Below are 23,390 nucleotides of genomic sequence, written 5' to 3'. Positions count from 1 at the left end.
AGCTGAAGAGAAGTAAACACTGAATCACAATGCAGACATTTGAGAGCTTAACACTCTCCCCTTCTCTAATTCTGCTCCCCAACTCTACTGGTTTCATTACAGTTGTTCAGCCATGTGAAGCACAATCTCACTTCAAGCCATTTGGTTTTACTTGTTCCTTAGCCTGGAATTTTATTCCCCTAGAAATTCTTAGGGATTGCTCCCTCATTCATTCAGGTTTCTGTTCTGCTGTGAACTTCTCAGAGAAACATTCCTTGACTATGCATACTGAAACAGCAACCCTGGGAACATTCTATTTCCAAAGCTTACTGAATTATTTTCATAACCATCAGACATAATTGATTTCTTTGTTTATTTTATTCTCTGTCTCATGAGAATCTAAACTCCAAAAGGACACAGACTTTAGCAGGCTTCTGTTCTTCCTCTACATTCTTAGCATCTAAAACATTGCTGGACACATAGTGGTTGCTTAATAAATATTTGTTGAATAAATTATTCAGCAAACAATAGGCAACACAGAGTTCCTGTGCCCAGTATAAACTGGGAGATCTATATGAGAGGCTTAAGAGACATTATCAGCCAATAGCAATAAGTGGTCTTTATTTTGAACCTGATGCATAGGAAATATCTATAAAAATCAACCATGACATTTATGAGATTTTGAACATTGGATATTTGATATTAACAAAATGATGGTTACTTTTTAAAAAGTATTTTAAAACCTTTAAAATACTTTAAAAAGTATTTAGCCCTAATACTTTTTTTTAGAGTCCTTTTTTTTTGGAGATTCTTACACACATGCACGCACACACATGCACACTTTATAAGAGATTACATAAAGCCTGAATTTTGATTCAGAATAAGTTTAAATTTCTGACAGTTAAAGAATAACTTAAAAATATATATATATGTAATGGAGGATGTTGATTGTGACGCTATGTTTAGATCCCATGGATACATTCCAAAACATGATAAATTATTTTATTTAAAACTGTCAATGCTTATAATGCCATCCTTTGTAACTCTTTAAACTTAGGTTGAAAAGTATTAGATATCAACCTAAAAATAGTAAAGATTCTGACTTATGTTAGGGATTGCATGCAAAAAAAAAAAAAAAAAATTGAAGGCCATTTTTCTAAATTACCTTTAGACAATTTCTGTTTGCAGGGTTATTCTGTGCTGTACCTTCCAAGAAGGATTAGTTCTACTATTACTGATGTGAACTGAAGGTCTGTCCCAATTTGACTTTTCAATGCCTGGAGAGAAATGAATGTAGTGCTCAAAGATTATGCAGTTGCCACTTAAGATACTCTAGAGCCATCATAGACTTTGGAGATGTAGTTATGCTTCCCTAAAAACAAAAAGTAGAGTTTCCATAAGCAAAATGTCCTTTGAGTTCTCCTGTTTTCTCCTTTTTCATTCTGTAATCTAATGCAGGTTCCCTAATCACTGAAAGGAGGTAAACAGATTTTCTTTCCCATTATATAATTTTTTATTTTTGTGGTTCAAACATAATAAATACTTTCAAATTATTATTTAGGCATTTTCTTATATTTATCATGGTGTTCTGCGGAATCTGTAGATTCTTGTGGATTAGGTGGTTTATGCTCCTAGTTTGAAATAAATTTCAATTTAATAGTGTATTCTTAAAATGGCATTCTGTTGTGTATAGTTTTTTAGTTGTAAACTCATATTTTTAATGCATTAAAATTAATTTGTAAATGAATATTTTATGGTGTACACCTGAAAGATAATAAGGGTTTCTTTTTTTTTGGTTGAAAATAAAAAGTGCTTATATATATGTAGCACTATGAATCAGTCAGGATTTAGTTGCAGAGAATAAAATTTGGTCTAGCAGTTTACGCAGGAAAATACTTATTACATGGCATTAGTGGCTTACAAAATCATGGAAGAGAGGAAAGGGCAGACGAAACAGATTTTGGGCTCATGGTTAAACTTTAAAAACATCTCCCAGTGGTATACCTCAACACTGGTTTCTAAGGGAGCTGCGGCTGTCTGTGTGGATCAGGAGACTGTTGTAGGGTGGCAAACTATGGCCTGCGGGCAAAGTCTGGCCTATCACCTGCTTGTCTATGTCTTACAAACTAAGAATGGTTGTTATATTTTTAAATATTTGAAAAAATCAAAAGAAAAATAATGTTTTGTGGCACTTAAAATTAATAAATTCACAATGGGCACAGTGGTAGGCACCTGTAGTGTAGTCCCAGCTACTTGGGAACCCAAAGTGGGAGGAGGATTGCTTTAGGCCAGGCATTTGAGACCATCCTGGACAACATAACAAAATACTTTCTCCAATTAAAAATGAAAAAAATGTGAAATTCAAATGTCAGTATTTATTTGAACACAGCAATACATGCTCACTTACCTATTATATATGGCTGCTTTCACGCTACAGTGGCAGTGTTAAGGTTGTAACAGAAACCGCATGGCAAAATATTTGCTATCTGACCCTTAACTGAGAAATTTCTCAACCCCGGCTCTAGAACACACAGTTCAGTGCCACACACAGTTCAGAGGCAGAAAGCTGCCTCTACTGCTGCTTGCTCCAGTCATACTGTAACTATTATGACCAGGCAAATAGATGTGACATGCACTGCCTCCCAGCAGCCAGCAGGATAATTACTGGGTACTAGGATCTCTGTCCAACACTGCAGGTAAAAAATGTATGTATATCATTGACAGTGTGGTCTCTGCTTCACTTCTCCTTTTCAAAGCTTGGGCAAGGCCACGTGTGGTGGCTCACACCTGTAATCCCAGCACTTTGGGAGGCCAAGGCAGGTGGATATCTTGAGCTCAGGAGTTCAAGACCAGCCTGGGCAACATAGTGAAACTCTGTCTCTACAAAAAATACAAAAATTAGCTGGGCATGTTGATGTGTACCTGTAGTACCAGCTACTCAGGAGGCTGAGGCAGGAGGATTGCCTGAGTCTGGAAGATTGAGGATGAAGTGAGCCATGGTCGTGCCACTGTACTCCAGCCTGAGTTACAGTGAGACACTAGTTAAAAAAAAATAAAAAAAAGCTGGGGCAAGTAAGTTTGATTGGCTGAACCTAAATTGCAACAAGAACCTATTTGCATAGGAGTCTGTGGAAACCTTGCTTATTTTGTTTTATAGCCTCTGTAATACATGAAAGCCCATTACAGGAGCAAGGTACGATGGATCTTGAGCTGCAATCCCCACCATATTTATCATATACTGGCTATAAGAATTTGGAACATACTCTTTTTTTATTGAAATGATTAATTTTTTTTCTTAATTCCAATTCAGTCATTGGTTGGTTTTGCAGTGACCAATTCTAATCATGTCATAACTAAACATTGATTGCCTTCCATGTGGTAGTCATATCACATATATTCTGACTCTCTTTTCTTACAACATTATAAAGCCAGTATCATACTCATCTCCATTTACTATTAAGGAAAATGTAGCTTAGGGTAGTTTGATTTACTTTTCCTGACGTCACATAGATAGTGAATGGAGGAACAGAATTTGAAATTCATAGGAACAGAATTTGAAATTCATATCTGCCTGACACCAGAACTTTTTTGCTGCCGCCTATTCTTGCTAGTCTATTGCTTGTCCCTGTAATGCAGCATTTTTGTGAATCAAACCAGAATTTTTTTTAATCACATATTGAGACTATTTAAACATTGTTTCTTAGTTTCATTGCCTTTACAGAAATTTCAACCTGTCTTTATTTCTTCTTCTGTAAAAGGGAACTAATCAATTTTGTCTTCTATTTTTGCATAACGATTCGTAGTTTAATGCAAAAGGTCTCTGCAGATGTGTAATATCATGCACAAAATATATTGCTCAGACAAAAGACTGCACACATTTTAGTATGGATAATATTATGCATTTATGTTTTATGAGGAATACATGTATAAGCTTCAAGCACAATATTCACTGGAGGGAATAAAAATTTGCTCTTAGCACCCTGACAAGAAATAGAGACATTGCTTTTAAAGTAGTAGAATACGATAAATCAGGCCAATCAGACAAGATTCAGGGATACACTTTCTGTGAGAATATTTTGGTGAAAAAATATTTTTACTTTAGATCGTTAGTCACAATATCTGAACTTTTTGAAGTAGTCTAAGTATTTTCAAGGCAAGGCCTTTGGGGAAAAAATAAAAGCATAAAATCAGTGTTTACAGGAAAAGAGAAGTAAAGAAGAGAAGAAAAGAAGATAAAAAATACAAGCTTCTGAAGCACTAGTGTGGCCTAAGCACAGTGCTGATATACTGACAAGCTTTATAACAACCAGCTAGCCAAGAAAAAAAAAAAAAGCCCCAATTTTTAGTGTTTGCTGATTCCTGTGTTGCAAATATTCTCACCTTGGTTAGTCCCAAGCTATTTGTAGTTTGACAGCTGGATGTCCAAAATTTCTGAAAATTTAGCCATCGGCTCTCATAAGCTGGTACAAGCTGGATCTAACACACCGCTATTTAGTTTAGCTTCATTTAGCAAAAGGTAAGAACAGTAGATGAAAGCAGAAATATTTTGCATTTACATTTTAGTGGATATGCAAGAAAAAAACTTTATGGAACCTGAGTATCTTTTTTAAATCAAAAGTCATCATTTTGGAAAATAATATGAAAGTATATTATTTTATTCACAGAAGAATAAGGTTAATAGTTAAGTACTCTTGATATTGGAGTTTTTTTCTAAAGTTATTATCTCATTTTCTCATTAATAAAAGAATTGCTCATAACTCATTAAATGACATAATACATTGCTGTGTTTAATTGCTAATAGTCACAATCATAGTTTACTATAATCTGGAACTTCTGGGCTTAAACAGTCCTCTCGCCTTGGCCTTCCAAAGTGCTGGGATTACAGGCACGAGCCACCATGACTACCTCAACAATAGTTTTTTATTCGTATTTGCCTTTGAAAAATTCTTCCAAGAAATGATTTCCTTAATATTCTGAATATTATTCTATATTTAATATTGAGGCATGTGTTAGGATTGTGGCAGATTTGAATTAAAGATAGCGGGAGATCCTCAAAGGAAAAGAAAATGTAGTTACATGTATGTAACATTTCCCCTATGTGTCAGATGTATCTAGAGATGCTAAGAATTCTTTGCCAAGATACCGCTCATGAGTCATATTTCTTGTCACCAATCTGGTTACACCCTTGGTGGAAGATACACAAAGTAAACATGGGTTTTGTGGGTTTTTTCTTTTTTAATTCTTGGGGACAAAAATACTTGATCATTTTGTCCAAATGTTTTAAGGAAGAACAAATAGTACTATCTTTGGTAGGAACAACCAGAAAATAAAATTGCCATTGCTTTCATAAGTAAAGGTATTTCATAAAGACAAAGAGCTTCCATTTAATAAAAGAGTACTGGATTTGGACTTATATGTCTTGAATTCAAATTTTAGCTAATGCTAGTTGTTGGATCTTTTTGGCAAGCTGCTTAAACTCTGAGCTTCCATATTTTAAATGTATAAAGTAGGCATACCATTTTGTGGTAGGAAATAAATGAATAAATTTTTGTGAAAATACCTAGCATTGTACTTGGCTATGGATATTAAGGCTATATTTCCTGGACGAAAACTGACATAGAGGCAGGAAATGAGAGTTCCTTAGGGATTAACTCCAGCCTGAGCTGCTAATTACTGATGCTGTCCCCTTAGACTTAAAATGATTCAAGGAAAGAATGGCTGGTGTTTTACACTTGGAAATACTGATTACAAGCCAATGGGCAGAAACCAAGCTGCAAAAATCTGATTGGCTAGAATGGTCTTAGGATAGGCCAGTGAAATTCATTTGTTTTCTTCTGTAATTGACGATCTTTTAAAAATGTGCTTCTCTTTCCTAACACTCTTCTTCCCCACAGCCCCACCTCCCTGAAGCTAGATTAGGTTTCCCTGATGTACTTTTCCCCAGCCTTCCTGTGTTTCCCTGGTATAACATGCATAGCCTTTATCATTCTTCATAATCTTTGCTACCACTCAGTTTCTAAACTCCACGAGGTCAGATATCATGTCTATCTTAAATGAATTGTCATTTCCTGGCACATGGTGTAAATGCCACATGTTCCAGGTTGTTGATATGTACCACTGTATCCCAAGCACCTACTCAGCATAATGGTTGATGTTTTATACATTATTAATGTTTCAGAATATTATAGTGTAAAAGTGATCATTCTGTACCATAATTTTCATCATATATTCATAAGAAGACTGAGAGATTATGCCAAAGTTGTGATGACTCCAAAATACTAATAGGAAATTGCTCTATTTTTATTAGAGGCAAATCTAGGGTATTGAACACTACCAGAACAATGTTGGTATTCCCAGCATGACTTTTTGTTGTTGGAGACCATGGGTAGGTTTGTCTGAAGACTGGAAGAGACTCAGACTTATTTTGCTATTAAATGTTGTGCAATTTATTTAATATCTAATACCTATTGAAAAACCAGTTCCCTCCTTCCCTTCCTCCCTTCCTTCCTTCCCTCTCTAAATATTCCTACAAATACATATATTTTTCATGTTACTTGCTAAGCAGATGAAATTTATTTTAAGGAATTTTTTTTGTGTCAGAGGATTAAAAGGACCAAAATGGCTGTGTTGATGATAAATAGCTAAGAATCACTTTAGAAAAAAATACATGTATCTGATTTAAACATGGTTCAATTGTGCTCACATTCGCAGCACAGAGAAGATTAGCATGGCTCCTGCACAAGGATGACATGCAAATTCGTGAAGCATTCCATTAAAGGAAAAAAAAAAAGAAGAAATAAACAAATAAATGTGGTTCACTTGAGACTAACTTAAGAAATGAATTGGTTGGTATATAAGTATTTAATTTTAGTTGTTAATGTAAATATATTTTTATATAAAACAGTGATTTTTAGGGTTGAACTAAATTCAGAAGTATTGCAAAGTAATTATTAAAGACCTATAAATTTAATGAAGGACAGATACAACCATTTTAAAGTAGTTAATGTTGTCTTTTGTTAATATGTGTCCATGTAAAATGTTTGCTTTCTGTCCATGTATTTTTAATTTCCAAAAGTTACATTGTAATGTATTTCATCTTATTTTTTAATTTTTTTTACCCATCACTATGTTTCTAAGACGTGTCCAACTTAAATGGATCTGAAATGTATACTTTTAAATAACTATATATAGTTGTATATCAACTTTGGTTTGCCTGTTCTTTTGCTCAGTGATGGACCACTTAAGTAGCTTCCAAAAAATTGCTTCCAATGAGAGAATTTCTTCAGAGTGTAGATGTAGAAGAGGAATGCAAGATTCCAAACGATGCAAAATTGCCCTTTAGATCCAGTTCATTTTCTCACTAGTCATGTGTGTAGTTTCTGTCCACATGTCTAAGGACACAGCATTTTCCAGCTTTCTGATTGTTGCTAATCTATTAGGTGCAACGTGGCATTTTGTTTCAATTTGTATTGCTCTGAATACTAATTAAATTAAAACACCTCTAACACCTCTGTGTTTAATGGCCTTCCAGATTCCTTGTTCATATTTTTCGCCTTTTTTCCAGTGGGATTGCTGTATTTTTCTTGTTGCATTACTTGTAAATTCTATATTCTAATTCTTGTCAGTTTTGGATATTTTAAATATCTTCTATTGTGTTCTCTCTTTTTTTGTTGGCTTACAGTGTTCCTTTCTAAGCCAAAATATTTAATTTTGAAGTAATTACATTCATCATTTTATTTTTATATACGGTAAGTGATTTTGAATTTATCCTGTTAGAGTTCTTACGTGATTCATTTTACACACACACACACACACACACACACACACACACACATATGTATATGTATGTATGTATATATTTGCCAGGCGTGGTGGCTCACTCCTGTAATCCCAGCACTTAGGGAGGCCAAGGCGGGTGAATCACTTGAGGTCAGGAGTTCAAGACCAGCCTGGCCAACATGGTGGAATCCCCATCTCTACAAAAATACAAAAAAAAATTAGCCAGGCATGGTGGTGCACGCCTGTAATCCCAGCTACTCAGGAGGCTGAGACAGGAGAATTGCTTGAACCCAGGAGGCGGAGGGTGCAGTGAGCTGAGATCATGCAATTGCATTCCAGCCTGGGTGACAGAGTGAGACTTCACCTCAGACAACAACAACAACAACAAAGAATATGTATGTTCTTCTATTAGCTGTATAGTTTACCTTTCATACTTGGATCTTTAATCCATTTTGAACGCACCTCCGTATGTGACTTTAGAGAGGAGTCTAGTTTAATTGTATTCTAAAATTAGTGAGTTAGTTTCTCAGTACCATTTACATGATTGTTATATACCGTTTTCTGTGACAATTATCACATGTTTGGTTCTGATTAGATATATGGGTCTGCCTCTGAGATTTCTCACCTCTACCTTGGTCAGTTTGTTGTTATACCATTCTGCCACTGATTTTATTACCATGGTTTGGTAGAAGATTATTTTCAAAGTCTAAAAATTATATAATTTAATTTTCAAGTTTCGTGATCATTGTTACCTGTTATGTTTCCTAAGTACATTTAAATTATGTTTAACACTTTTAACTAGTAACCATTATGATCCTTGAGATATATGTATTGTTAATTCTTGATCAATTTCTTTAATTGTAATTAAATGTAATTTCTTCAGGGTCTCTTTTTTCCCATGTTATTTAAGTGTTAGATTTTGCTTTTCAGGAGACATCTGGATTTGAAATTAAATGAGTTATTCTTTTCTCTGAAGTCTGAGAGTACAAGTGTATATATACTCTAAGTGTATATTAAATGGTATGAACATTTTTAAATCAGTCAAAAATTAAAATCAAGTGAATATTAAAAAAAAACCTAGATCAATAATAAGTTTCACATTAGAAATAGGTTGCTTTAAAAAACAAGTTGAAATATTTTAAGTAATCAACACTGGTATAGCTCTCAATATTTTTGAATGACTTAGTGTATGTTCTACTAGGAACATAAATATATGCATAAACCAAAATCAACTAAATGTCTTGGCGTGACTCAGTTTTGACCATAGAATGACTTTGTTTTGTGTAATTTCACAAAGAAAGAAAAACTAAAAAGTAATCTATAGCTTTTTGAGTCCCAAGTCTTTGCATTCTTTGTTCCCTACCTGAAAAATATTCTCAATTCAAATTGTAATTTTTAGCATGTAATTTTGAGACACCACAAACATACATATATATTTTATTTTGATCATTAAATAGAACGTTACGTCTGCTTTTTAGGGGTAGTTAGGTCTTTATATGGAAACATTTATTTCATGTAGTTTGTATTTTGTGTTTAAGCCACTGAATTCAAAAGCCTAGATATTGGAAATACAATAAGTAGATGAGAAACTTAATTTTAACCTCCAAATGCTAAACCTCCTAGCAAATATTTCAACTAGAAGATTTCAGTTTTATAGTCTTTCCCTTTTCCCCAGCTCTAGTTGAGGTGTTAATTGTAAAATGTAAAAGGAGACAAGTAGAATGAAAATAACAGCTAGGTATGCTTAATCCTTCAGTAATGATATAAAAGGCATTACTCTTTTAGATTGCTCTTCAAAATAATATGAATTAGGTCTTATTATGGAATGTTATAAAAATAAATAAGCCTAGGAAATAGTTCCTCACTGCCAGAGGGGTTCTGTGCCAGTTTATTCAAGGTAGTATTTTATATTTTATGACATTGCTTTCCTTCTAAGAAGATGATGAGACTTACCAAGAAAAATATGGTAAACTGATTTACACTTGGAGAATTATTCACTTCAGTTACTTATTTCCCCAGAAATTAGAGAAGCCACATATTTCAAATATTGTCACTGTTTCAGATAGATTTACCTAATATATTAAAAAGCTAACTGATAAGAATAACATTTCTCTTCTGATTCTTCCCCAAAGGCATTTTTTAAAATAGGCTACATGTGATCAACAGAGAAATGATGTAATTAGGACATGTCTAATGATAGTAATCATTCTTACATTTTGATATGGTGGAAGGACAGATACACATAGTTTTTTGCTCTCCTTTTCGTCTACCCCTCCACTCTTCAACTCCTTTAGTGAGAATGTATTCCCCCAGCCATGAGAATATAAATACACTTTTATATTTCGTTTGTAGACTATTTAATTCAAAAATTATAAGGGAGGCCAGGCACGGTGGCTCATGCCTATAATCCCAGCACTTTGGGAGTCCAAGGTGGGAGGATCGCTCTAGCCCAGAGTTTGACACCAACCTGGGCAACGTAGTGAGACCCCAACTCTACAAAAACTGAAAAAATGAGCCACATGTGCATACCTGTAGTCCCAGCTACTCAGGAGGCTGAGGTGAGAGGATCACTTGAGCCTAGGAGGTCGAGGCTTCAGTGAGCTCTGATCATGCCATGCATACCATCCTGGGTGACAGAATGACACTGTGTCTCAAAAAAAAAAAAAATATAGGTGAAACAATAATACTCTGATTAACAAAGGGTATAAATCCACTGACAAGTAATTTTTGTGTCCCTGATAGTCATATTAGTATCACCTTTTATTTTAAAGTGTGTTTAGGAATTTCATAAGTTTCCTAATCTTTTTCATTTATATATCCCTAAAAAATACATAAAGAGCAGATTATATATACATAATATACATATAATTTAAAATAATTTGAATAGAGGAATTTGTGGAAAAGATAAGTTAGGTGTGTCAGCAGGAAGAGTCTCTGCTTCATTCTATCCATCCATTTATCCGTCTATTCGTTAAGCATCTTCAGTGTGTCAGGTACTGTGCTAGCCACTAAAAGTTGAATATAAAGAAACAGATTACTGACCTCACGCCAGATTCATCTTCAAGGAGTGGTGGTGGAGCTGTGCACTTATTGGAGATACTCTCCATAAATCCTAACATGCTTTTATTATACCTGTGGTAGGGCGAGAAATAGCCTCAAATGGGACCAAACTAGAATATTGGCTGTTGACTGAGAGCCTTGATGTGGATACTCAGTGCTTGTTTTTCTAGGTGATGAGGATTATATGTGAATTTGGGATGAGCGGATATGAGATGATAGCACAGACATAACAGGCATTCTTACAGAGAGCAAAGAGCTGTCAAAAGGCATGACTTCAAGTCCCATTCATACTACTTACTAACAATGTTTTGAAGATTGCATGAGATAATGTTTCTCATGTCCTTATAGTTGAGTATAAATACGACCATACGAATGTACATACTTTAAAACAGAAACAGAAAAGTAGATCTTAATAATAGATCTTAATAATCTTTTTTTTTTTTTGGAGACAGGGTCTCGTTCTCTCACCCAGGCTGGAGTACAGTGGCACAATCTCAGCTCACTGCATCCTTCACGCACCGCTTGGGATCAAGCGATCCTCTTACCTCAACCTGGGACCTCAGATGTACAACAACATGCCTGGCTATTCTTTTGTATTTTGAGTAGAGGCGGGGTCTTGTTATGTTTCCCGGGCTGGTCTCGAACTCCTGAGCTCAAGCCATCAGCTTGCCTCGCCCTCCCAAAGTGTTGGGATTACAGGCGTGAGCCACTGCACCTGGCTTAACAATCTTTTTTTTTTTTAATGATTGTAACGATCATATTCTAGTTAGAGGCCAATTAGGTTGTTTCCTGGAAAACAAAGACATTTGAATTCAGCCCTCAAAATAAAAGGAATGTAATTTGACAGGCTGAGGAAAAGAGAAAAAGATTTGGTGAAAGGAAGAGTATTTGCCCAAGATGTGGCCGTCTTTCTTGCAAAGTACTTTCAGAAATAACTGTATTGCTTTATTTGTTTATCTTTATGGTATATTTGAGGTGAAGCAAGGGTAGTTTTTTTTCTTATTCTTTAGATTTAAGAAAATAATTCACAGGGAGATACGTTATTTGCTATCAAATAACCACAAATGAGTCTCATGTTCCCATGCAGTCTGTGAATGAAGAGAATAATACACAGATTGAAATAGAAGGATTAAAATAAAAGTATGTGATGTAATATTAAGCAATTGATGCGTATGTATGGTAAAAAATTACAAATCTTGAACAAGGCTATTAAATAGAAATCTTGAATAAGGCTATATTGAAAAACATCAATTGAGTGTATATGTGACAAACAATTGAAGAAGCTCAGTAAGACTTACCATCAGGTTGGGCACAGTGGGTCGTACCTGTAATCCCAGCAATCTGGGAGGCCGAGGAGGGCGGATCACTTAAGGTCAGGAGTTCAAGACCAGCCTGGTCAACATGGCGAAACCCCCTCTCTACTAAAAAATAAATAAATAAATTAGCTGGGCATGGTGGTGCATGCCTGTAATCCCAGCCACTCGAGAGGCTGAGGCATGAGAATTGCTTGAACCCAGGAGGCAGAGGTTGCAGTGAGCCGAGATCCTATCACTGCACTCCAGCCTGGGTAACAGAGCAAGACTCTGTCTCCAAAAAAACATATATATATATATATATATATATATATATATATATATATATATATATATATGTATGGTTCCCTTATTGACAAACACTTTTATTATTTTCAGGTTTTTACAATTTAATCAATGTTGCTTATGGATGTTACTTTATACGTCTCCTTCTACATATATGTGAGTTTCCTTAGGGCATGTACCTAAGTGGAATTGCTGATTCGTATGATCTGTATATGGTCAATTTTACTAGATAATTCCAACCAGATAATGCCAATCCATAAACACTGTTACTAACATTTATAACCCATTTGTTCACATCTTTACTAATTTGGTATTGTCACATTTGATTTTTGATACACAATAGTATATTGATGTCCTATTGCTCTTGTAACAAATGACCATGTTCTTACTTGAAACATTACAAACTTAGTGTCTTACAATTTTGGAGGTCAGAAGTCCAAAACTGGTCTTGCAGGGCTAAAATCAAGGTGTTCATAGAGCTGCATTCTTTCTGGACGCTCTAGGGGAGAATCTGTTCCTTGCCTTTTTCATCTTCCAGTGGCTACCCTCATTCCTGGCTGATGTCCATATCACTCCAACCTCTGCTTCCTGGTCACATCTCCTTCTCTCTCCTGACTCCTTCTTTGTGATTATTTCAAGCTTGCTCAAACAATATAGAATAATCTCCCCATTGCAAGGCCCTTTACTTAATCACATTTGCAAAGTCCTTTTGGCCACATAATGTAACATACAGGTTCTAGAGATTAGGATGTAGTAGAGACGTCTTTAGGGGCCATTATTCTGCCTCACACAAACGTTAACTCGTTGTTATGTTAATTTGCATTTCATTTATGACTAACAAGGTTGTGTAGCTTTTCATATTTTTGTGGCCATTCATGTTTCCTTTTCTGTGAAATGCCTATTTGTCTTTTGTTCATTTTTCTATTGGGTTGTTTGCCTTTCTCTCATTGACTTGAAGACATTCTTCGCATATTTTGAATGTAATGCTTTTTTGTTCATTATAGATGTTGCAAATATTTCTCTCCCAATTTCTAGCTTGTGTTTACTTTTTTTTTATTTTGATGTACAGAAGTTAATTTTGATAAGGCCAATTTTGTGTGTGTGTGTGTGTGTGTATGTATAATTTTTGTTTTGTTTCATTTTAAGACATTTCTTCCTTAACCTGAGGTTGTACTTTCCAGCATTTTCTTCTAAACATTTTTAAAGATTTGCTTTTCAAATTAATGTCTTCAGATGTCTTCAATTGCTGTGGTGACAAGAACATAGTGAATATAAGCTGCTGAAAGTAGAGCTAGTCGTGGCTGGAACAGAGAGAAATTCAGGTGGGTTGGGAGTGAGTTGATAAATATTTCTTTGAATCAATGATCAAGTTACTACTATATAGCTGTGTTCACATTGCTTTAAGATTAAATACAGTCATGAACTACCTATGATAGGTAGCCATGTAGTAGAAAAATCTGTTATTTCAAACAAAGACCATCTGGGAGAAGCATCAAGGGTTTGAAATTGCATGGTGTGTCCAGGGAACAGCAGATAGGTGATGTGGTATGAGCATGGGATGAGGGGAGGGCTAGGGCAGAAGATACAGCTTCAAAATTAGGGACCCACCAGATTTTGAGCAGCCTTTTTATACCTTGCAAAAGTTTTGTCTCTAGTCCATTGCAGCCATTGTTGTCACTTTTAAGGAAAGTTGTATTCTGATCTGTTTGAAATTTTAGGAAAATGAATATAGCCACATTATCGGCAGAGTAAAAACTGAAGTCGGCATTCCCTTAGTTCCTTATATATAGTAGACACTTAAGGAATTAAATTTCAGCAATGCTATTACAGGTGGGGATGCAAACACAGAGTGTGCAGTGCAGCCTTTTGGTTATTAGTGGTGAATTTTCAATCTTTTAAATGGATTTGACATTTAGTAACAGGCAGAAGATATTTTGAGGAAGTTTTGAAACTAAAGCACATGAGTACACTGGGAAATTCCATTTTTGGTAACACGTGATGTATGATGATACGGATTTTAAGATGTAGCTTACAAAATGCTCTTAAAGCAGTTTGTAGAGAGGAATTTTTTAAAGCATTTCGAACCATGTCAACATCATTATGTATACATAGCTTTCCAACATAACTAATTGGAAGAGCAAAATTCATTTGGATGTATAAATTTTGATATTTTGTGAAAAATGTAAAATAACAATAAAACTCCTCATTCTAATTAATCAATAGTATAATTAATCTGTGAAGAAGCCAACATCTATTTTACCATTATTATTTTTGTTGATATCATTGCTTTATTCATATTTTTTTCATTTGTGAGGTTTTACCAGTGTAATTCTGCACAATCTTTTGGCATTTGTCATTTTCCTTTGATCACTTTTAGGTCTTAACATACATTCCAGCCTCATTCAGTCATGATTTCTTATGACACTAGTGAGCTGTTTTCCTCTTTGGGATGTTCCTTGTCCTCAGTATGTTGTTGATGCTTGAATTTCCAGCGGAGGATTCTGGCTTATTGCCTTTTGTCATCATCTGTTTACCACCCAAACCTAACTCTCTGTTAGTAATTTTTTTCCTTCTGCCCCTGCCTTCTCTTAAATAGTTCTTATTTTCTGAATTTATATCAGTTTTAACTGAACATGTTTTAAAAAGTACATTATGGGGTACCCAACAATCTTAACAAAAATGGTCATTTTTGTTAGTTATGTAATTGATTTTAAACAAACCATAAAAAACAAAGTTGTCTTCTAAGTTTTCTTGTTTTAAAATAAACAGATAAGAAATTTAAAGAAAAAATTTGCCCCCTTTGGTCTATTTTAAATCACCTTAACTAGTCCTTGAGCTGCCTCTAAATCATTTATCTTCTAAACTCTTATTCAGCACCGTTTACTCATTTATGAATCATTTTTTTGTCCATTTCTTATTTGTCAGGTACCATGTCAGGTATTCAGGAAAAAAAAGTTGAATAGGATATGACCTTTGCCTTCCATAATCTTACATTGTCTGGTGTTGAAAAAGACAGTCAAAACAACAGTTACATGATGTGATAAATGCAATGATAAAGATGTACACAGGATGCTATGGGAACCAAGACGGTGAGGCATCTGTCAGACTGGGAGATTCAGGAATGCTTTCAGCCAGGCACAGTGGCTCACACCTTTAATTCCAACTCTTTGGGAAGCCAAGGTGGGAGGATCACTTGAGGCCTGGAGTTTGAGACCAGCCTGGGCAACATAGTGAGACCCCATCTCTATAAAAAAATAAAACAATTAGCTGGGAGTCTGAGGTGGGATGATGGTTTGAGCCCAGGAGATGGAGGCTGCAATGAGCCCTGATCATGTAACTGCACTCCAGCCTGGGCAACAGAATGAGAAAAACAACAACAAAGGAAAGCTGGAAAGCTTCTTAGAAGAGGGACAGTTGAGCTCAGATTTAAAGGATGATTCATAATCATCTGGATGTAGAAGAGCCAGACGGGGAGAGCCCCCAGGAGAGGGCTCAGGGTGCGTGCAGGCAGAGCAAGGAGGCCTGCAGTAGACGGGTGTGGTTAAAGTAGAATAGTAGGGCATGAAGAACGTCAGGCCTATGCAGGGGCTAGATAATAAAGAGCCTTAAAATTTGTACTTTTCCTTAAAGTTATGAGAATCAATCATACATATATTCCTTCAGTTCTGCTATGTACCAGATACTTAGCTATATGTTAAAGGATTTGGAGAGCGTAGCCTTCTTTCAAGGAATTTATAGTTTGATGCAAGATATTGATAATTTAATAGCATGAAATTATCTCTAAGCAAGTTGGTAACTTTTCAATTTAGAACAAATGATTAATGTAATTTTTATCAGGAGATACGTAAGATGTCCTGCAAAAGCTTTCTTTAGGATGAGAACTAGGATACGTAAATTGTAAGCTTAAACATTTTTTCATGTTGTAATATGTAAGTTTTTGTGAGAAACAGTAAAATACACACCCAGAACTCAGAATATCTGAACAGAAAATCTAGTGCTGTCACTTACCAGTTACATAACTCTATGTAAGTTTTTTTTTTTTAACATTTATTATTCACCAACCACTTACTATGAACTAAGGATACAAACTTAAATAAGATTTGGTTCTCTTTATTGAGAAAATTATTGCTAATGGGAATAAATAACCATTTACTGGTAAATGTACATTACGGTAGAATAACAGTAATAATAGCCCTCTCTTACTGAGCACTTGTGCCAAATACTAATCTAAGTGCTTTCCATGTAATAAATTACCTAATTTCTACAAATAACACCATGAGTTAGGTTCTGATAATTATTCTTTTTTTCCAGATAAGGAATCTTACACACAGAACGTATCTGACTTGAGGTTAAATAGTTAGTAATACAATTAATTGCAAAGCCTGTGTAACTAATATGTTATACTGTCTCTCTTAATGATGAATATTCTGTAACAGACTACAGGCATGCAGTACATAATGATATGTTGGTGAACAACAGACGGCATATATGATGGTGTTCCCAGAGACTATAATGAGGCTGGGAAATTCTTGTCACCTAGTGATGTCATAAGTGTTGTAATACCGTAGCACAAAGCACAACTCACGTGTTCATGGTGATGCTGGTGTAAACAAGCCTTCTATGCTGCCAGTTGTATGAAAGTATAGCACATACAATTATGTATAGTATATAACACATGCATATAAATCATGTAATACATGATAATAAATTACCATGTTACTGGTTTATGTAGTTACTATACTATACTTTTAATCTTTATTTTAGAGGATACTCCCACTTATAAAAAGAAAACTAACTGTAAGACAGCTTCAGGCAGGTCCTTCAGGAGGTACTCAGAAGAAGGCATTGTTATCATAGGAGATAACAGCTCCATATGGGTTATCGTCCCTGAAGACCTTCCAGTGAGACAAGATATGGAGGAGGAAGACAGTGATATTGATAATCTTGGCCCTGTGCAAGCCTTGGCTAATATGTGTGTTGGTGTCTTTTTTAACAAAAATGTTTTAAAACTTAGAACAAAATTAAAATATAAAAATGCTTATAGAATAATGATATAAAGAAAAAACATTTTTGTACCACTGTACAGTGTGTTTGTGTTTTAAGCTACGTGTTATTCTAAGAGTCCAAAAGTTTTTTTAAAAATTTGAAAGTTTGAAAGTTCATAAAGTAAGAGTTTCAGTAAGCTGAAGTTAATTTATTATTGGAGAAAGAAACATATTTTGTTATAAATTTAGTGTAACCTCAGTGTACAGTGTTTATAAAGTCTACAATGTATTCAGATGTCCTAGGCCTTCACGTTCATTCACTGCTCACTCACTGACTCACCCAGAGCAACTGCAGTCTTGCAAGCTCCATTCATAACTAGTGCTCTGTGCAGGTGTACCATTTTTTATCTTTCTACAGTATTTTTACTGTATGTTCTGTGTGTGTGTGTGTGTGTGTGTGTGTGTGTGTGTGTGTGTGTTTGAGTCTTGCTCGGTACCCCAGGCTGGAGTGCAGTGGCGTGATCTCGGCTAACTGCAACTTCCACCTCCTGGGTTCAAGCGATTCTCCTGCCTCAGCCCCCTGAGTAGCTGGGACTACAGGCGCGTGCCACCATGCCTGGCTAATTTTTGTATTTTTAGTAGAGACGGGGTTTCACCATGTTGGCCAGGCTGGTCTCAAATTCCTGACCTCATGATCTGCCCGCCTCGGACTCCCAAAGTGCTGGGATTACAGGCCATTTTCTGTGTTTAGATATACAAATACCATTGTGTTACAGTTGCCTATAGTATTCAGTACAGCAACATGCTGTACAGGTTTGTACCTAGGAGCAATAGGCTATACCATATAGCCTAGGTTTGTAGTAGGCTAAACCATCTAGGTTTTTGTATGTGCACTTTCTGATGTTTGCACAAAGACAAAATTGCCTAACAGTGCACTTCTCGAGTGTATCCCTGTCGTTAAGCAACGCATGACTGTATAACTAAAGTTTCATGGTAGGCCAAAAGCTGAACAACAAACTTGCCTGGAGATTTGGGGAAGACTTCTCTGAGAAGGTGACCTTAGAGCTGAGTTTTAGACTACTTGGAAAAGCAGAGGAGGGGGCATCATTAGCAGAGAAAACAATATACATAATACATAGAGGACTGAAAGGGCCTAACAGTCTGGGAGATACTTTCAGTGTGGCAGAATTTAGAGTGAAAGAGGTGGTGGCTTACTGGTAAATGATGCTGAAAATTGTATTTTAATTTATTCTTAGACAATAGGGAATCAACAGGTTTTAAATCAGAAAAGTGGTATGATACCTGCTTTGTGTTTGTTTGTTTTTTTTTTGAGACAGAGTCTCGCTCTGTCAGCCAGGCTAGAGTGCATTGGCACAATCTCGGCTCACTGCAACCTCCGCCTCCTGGGCTCAAGCAATTCTCCTGCCTCAGCCTCCCCAGTAGCTGGGATTACAGGTGTGTGCCACCATGCCTGGGTAATTTTTGTATTTTTAGTAGAGACAGGGTTTCACCATGTTGGCCAGGCTGGTCTCAAACTCCTGACCTCAGGTGATCGCCCGCCTCAGCCTCACAAAGTGCTGGGATTACAGGTGTGAGCCACCTCGCCCGGTCTCTGCTTGGTTTATCAGAAGATAACTTAGGAGCTGTAAGAACAGGACACCAGGCCTGGGGCGGTGGCTCACACCTGTAATTCCAGCATTTTGTGAGTCCGAGGCGGGTGAATTGCTTGAGTCCAGGAGTGCGAGAACATCCTGGGCAACATGGCGAAACTCCATCTCTACAAAAAATACAAAAATTACCCAGGCGTGGCTGTGCATGCCTGTAGCCTTGTACTAGGGAGGCCGAGACAGGAGAATTACCTAAGTACAGGAGGTTGAGGCTACACTGAGCCCTGATCATACCGCTGCACTCCAGCATGGGTTACAGATTGAGACCCTGTCTCAAAACAAACAAACAAACAAAAAAAAAACACAAAAAAACGAACAAGACACCAGTCATATGTTAGTGAGATTTACACTAAGTTTACTGATCATTTCCAAGAGCAAGCATTCGGTTTTATTGATTTTCTCTGTTTTTTTCAGTTTCAATAATTTCTGCCCTAATTTTGATTATTTCTTTTTTCTGCTTTCTTTAAGCTCAAACTACTTTTCTTTTTCTAGTTTCCTAAGGTAGAAGTGTAGTTTATTAATCCTTAGATCGTTCTTCTTTTATAATGTATACATTTAGTTCTGTGAGGAAAATTTTTTCCTCAAAGAACAGCTTTTGCTGCATTTTATGCATGTTGATAAGTTGTATTTTCATTTAGTTCAAAATGTGTTTCAGTTTCTCTTGACCAGTCTTTGGACCATATGTTTATTTAGAAGTGTGTTGTTTAATTTCCAAATTTCTCTTTTAATTCCATTCTGACCTGGGAGCATACTTTGTATGATTTCTGTTCTTTTAAATTTGTGAAGGTGTGTTTATAGCACAGAGTGTGGTCTGTCTTGGTGAATGTTTCACGTGAATTTGAGAAGAATGTGTATTCTGCTGTTGTTGGATCAAGTATCCTATAAATGTCAACTGTAGATCTAGTTTAATGACAGTGCTGTTCAGGTAAACTATATATGTATTGATTTCCTGCATGCTTGATTTATCAATTAATGTATGAGTGCTGTCTCAAACTCCAATAATCAATTTGTCTCTTTCTCCCTTCAGTTCAGTTTTTGCCCTACATATTTTTATATTCCTTTTAGACCTATACACGTTAAGGATTGTTATGTCTTCTTGGAGAAATGATCCCTTTGTCGGTATATAATGCCTCTTTTTATCCCTGATACTATTTTCTTATCCGAAAGACTACATCTTGTAAAATTAATTTAGCTACTGCATCCTGCTTTTTTTAAAAATCTTTTTTATTTCAAGGGTAAGTCAATAGAATCCAGCTTTCCTTTGATTAGAGTTAGCATGGTATATTTCTCTCCATCTCTTTACCTTTAACCTATCTGATTATTTATGTTTAAAGTTACATTCATATAGATACTATATTGTCTATGGGATTTGAGTTTTTAATCCCCTCTGACATTCTCTATCCTTTAATTGGTGTATTTAGACCACTCACATTTATAATGATTATTGATTTAGTAGGATAAATATCTGTCATGTTTGTAACTGTGTTCTATTTGTTGCATTTGTTCTTTGTTCTTCCTCCCTTCTTTTCTTGCCTTCTCAGGTTTTAACAGCATTTTCTATGATTTCTTTTAATCTCCTATCTTAGCATATTAAACTTTTTTTTTTTTTTTGAGACAGAGTCTAGCTCTGTTGCCCAGGCTGGAGTGCAGTGGGGCAATCTCGGCTCACTGCAACCTCTGCCTCCAGGGTTCAAGCGATTCTCCTGCTTCAGTCTCCCAAGTAGCTGGGACCATAGGCGCCCTCCACCACGCCTGGCTAATTTTTATATTTTTAGTATAGATGGGGTTTCACCATGTTGGCCAGGATGGTCTCAATCTCCTGACCTCGTGATCTGCCCACCTCGGCCTCCCAAATTGCTGAGATTTCAGGAATGAGCCACCGCGCCTGGCAGCATATTAAACTTAATGGTTCCCCTAGATGCCAGCATTCACCTTTTGCTTATCTTGATCTGCCTTCATATGACACTTTGTATCACTGAGGTATACTGCAGGTTTCTTGCAATAGCATTACCAGCTCCTCCCTCCTCTCCCTTGTGATATTGCTCCCATTTATCTTACTTATTCATAAGCTATAATCATCCAACACATTACTGCTATTTTTAAACATTCAGTTATCTTTTACATCAATTAGGAATAATTAAAAGCTAGGCATGATGGCTCATGCCTGTAATCCTCGCACTTTGGGAGGCTGAGGTGAGCAGATCACTTGAGCCAGGAGTTTGAGACTAGCCTGGGAAACATGGCAAATACCTAGCTCTACAGAAAATACAAAAATTAACTGGCCGTGGTGGTATGCTCCTGTAGTCCCAACTACTCAGAAGACTGAGGTGGGAGGATCACTTGATCACGGGAGTTTGAGGCTGCAGTGGGCTGGGATTGCACCTGCACTCCAGCCCTGGTAACAGAGTGAAATCCTGTCTCAAAAAAAGAAAAAAGAAAAAAAAAAGGATAAAAATGTTATATTACCTTCATTTATTCCTTATCCAGTGTTCTTTCTTTCATTAATATAGATACAATTTACTGACCCCTATCATTTTTTCTTCTTCCTGAAGAACTTTTAACATTTCTTGCAGAGAAGATCTCCTCACAACAAGTTCTCTCAGTTTTTGCTTATCTGAGGAAGTCTTTATTCTTTCTTCATTTTTGAAGGATAATTTTATTAGATATAGAATGCCTAGGAATTTGGTGGGTGGGAAATTGGTATGTTAGGTTGGTGGGCTTTTCTCCTAATGTTTAAACTATTTCACTCCTTCTCTTTTTGCTTGCATGTTTTAGATGAGAAGCCCACTATAATTTTTATCCTTGTTCCTTTTTTGATACTGTGTTTTCCCTTCCTGTTATCCCCCTACCTCATCATGCTTCCATGATTTTCTCTTTATGTTTGATTCACTGCAGTTTGAATATAATATGCCTACATGTAGTCTTTTAGGTATTTATCATGTTGGCGTTCTCTGGGCTTCCTGTATCTGTGGTTTGGTGTTTGTCATTAATTTTGCAAAGTTCTCAAAGTTCTTTGTCATTATTACTTTAAATATGCTGTTGCTCCCTTCTCTTTCTAGAAGTTTCTGTTGACCTATCTTCAACTCACTGACTCTTTCCTCAGCAGTATCCATCTACTGCTGAGCCTATCAAAGCATTCTTCATATCTGTTAGAGTGCTTTTGATTTCTAGCATTTCTTTTTTTTTTTTAGAGCCCTGTTGGTATGGTGAAAGTTTGGAGGAAGGGGAAATGTTTTATAATCTTATTACTAAATATCAGTGTTTTAGTGGACCTGGACTCTGGGCTGTGACCTTCCAAGTGTTTCCCCTGGGCTTTGCTTCCTTTATTCTTCCTTTTCCCTTCCTGGACCTCAAGTGAGACCAGAAGGCAAAGGGGCTGGAGTGGAAGAAATGCCCTTCCCCCAGGAAAGATAAGGCTCTGATAAAATCTTTCATCCTGCAGTGTAGGCCTTTGTTATGGAGAATACTCTGAGAGCATTTCACAGTGATTACTCACTCTTCCCCTTCTCTGCTTGAGCCAGGGAGGGGATCTTTCTCAGATCTTGAAAACCTAGTGTGATTGCAACCCTGGAAAGTTGTGGTCCCGGCATTTCTCCCTCTCATGCTAGTCCACTTTCAACCACCACCAGTTTGTCCCACTTACCATTGAGGTGTTCCTACCAGTTCATGGCTGCAGAGACTTCTTATCCAGGTAGGCTGATTTCACCTGTGACTCTGGATTTCTGGGGTTTGTTTGCCCTGCGACCTCAGTTCTTTGATGGGTCCAAGAAAAGTCCTTGAGTTAGAGTTGATCCAGTGGTTTTTTGTGTAAGAACAGGAGATGATTTCAAAGCTCTTTACATTTTGGTGCTAAATCCCTTATTTTGTTTTTTATTTAACTTTTCTTTTCATATTAGTACATGTTCTTTTAACAGTATTCCATGACATGGATGTACCGTGAATTACCTATTGATCTGTTAAAGGACTAGACTGTTTCCAACTTTTTCAGTATCGCAAATGATTATAATAACATAATGCGGTAATTCACATTGTATGACATCTTTGTGATCTGTGTGAATATTTCTACAGGATAGCTTCTTGTTGACTTATATGTGTAGTAATTTCCATTTTACTTAGTACTTCTTGCTGTCTATGAAGAGAAATCCTATTAGTTTTACCAAAGTAATGATGAAAAATTGTACTTTGTTTTTATTTGCATTTCTTGGATTAGTGATTTTAAGTACCTCTTCATATGTGTTGTGTAGTGTTTTTTACTGGGAGTAGTCTATTTGTATTCCATATCTACTATGCTCTAGGGTAGTTGAGTCTGAGTTCCATGGATA

General features: G+C 36.1%; 1 protein-coding gene and 1 pseudogene across 29 annotated transcripts in view, besides 2 other annotated features; both read left to right on the top strand.

The window, feature by feature from the left end:
* Positions 1-23,390, top strand: part of WDFY3 (WD repeat and FYVE domain containing 3) — a 297,094-nt gene that overhangs the window by 73,547 nt on the left and 200,157 nt on the right. For 2 of the 29 annotated variants that reach the window (XM_047449851.1, XM_005262858.6), the window contains exon 4: positions 13,650-13,738. The exons of the other annotated variants lie outside the window; for them this stretch is intronic. The gene's annotated coding sequence lies outside the window, so the exon portion shown is untranslated. The remainder of the gene's footprint in view (positions 1-13,649; positions 13,739-23,390) is intronic. 29 annotated transcript variants of the gene reach the window in all.
* Positions 6,658-6,758, top strand: RNU6-469P (RNA, U6 small nuclear 469, pseudogene; annotated as a pseudogene).
* Positions 22,208-22,741: an enhancer, noted in NCBI's record as "OCT4-NANOG-H3K27ac hESC enhancer chr4:85791556-85792089 (GRCh37/hg19 assembly coordinates)". NCBI's record gives its function as "activates a minimal SCP1, AML or CMV promoter by ChIP-STARR-seq in naive and primed H9 embryonic stem cells {active_cell/tissue: H9 hESC(naive and primed)}" and the evidence as "EXISTENCE:reporter gene assay evidence [ECO:0000049][PMID:30033119]".
* Positions 22,742-23,276: an enhancer, noted in NCBI's record as "OCT4-NANOG-H3K27ac hESC enhancer chr4:85791021-85791555 (GRCh37/hg19 assembly coordinates)". NCBI's record gives its function as "activates a minimal SCP1, AML or CMV promoter by ChIP-STARR-seq in naive H9 embryonic stem cells {active_cell/tissue: H9 hESC(naive)}" and the evidence as "EXISTENCE:reporter gene assay evidence [ECO:0000049][PMID:30033119]".

Source organism: Homo sapiens, chromosome 4, assembly GCF_000001405.40.
Source record: "Homo sapiens chromosome 4, GRCh38.p14 Primary Assembly".
NCBI lineage: Eukaryota > Metazoa > Chordata > Mammalia > Primates > Hominidae > Homo > Homo sapiens.
This window is presented reverse-complemented; position numbering and strand designations above follow the sequence as displayed.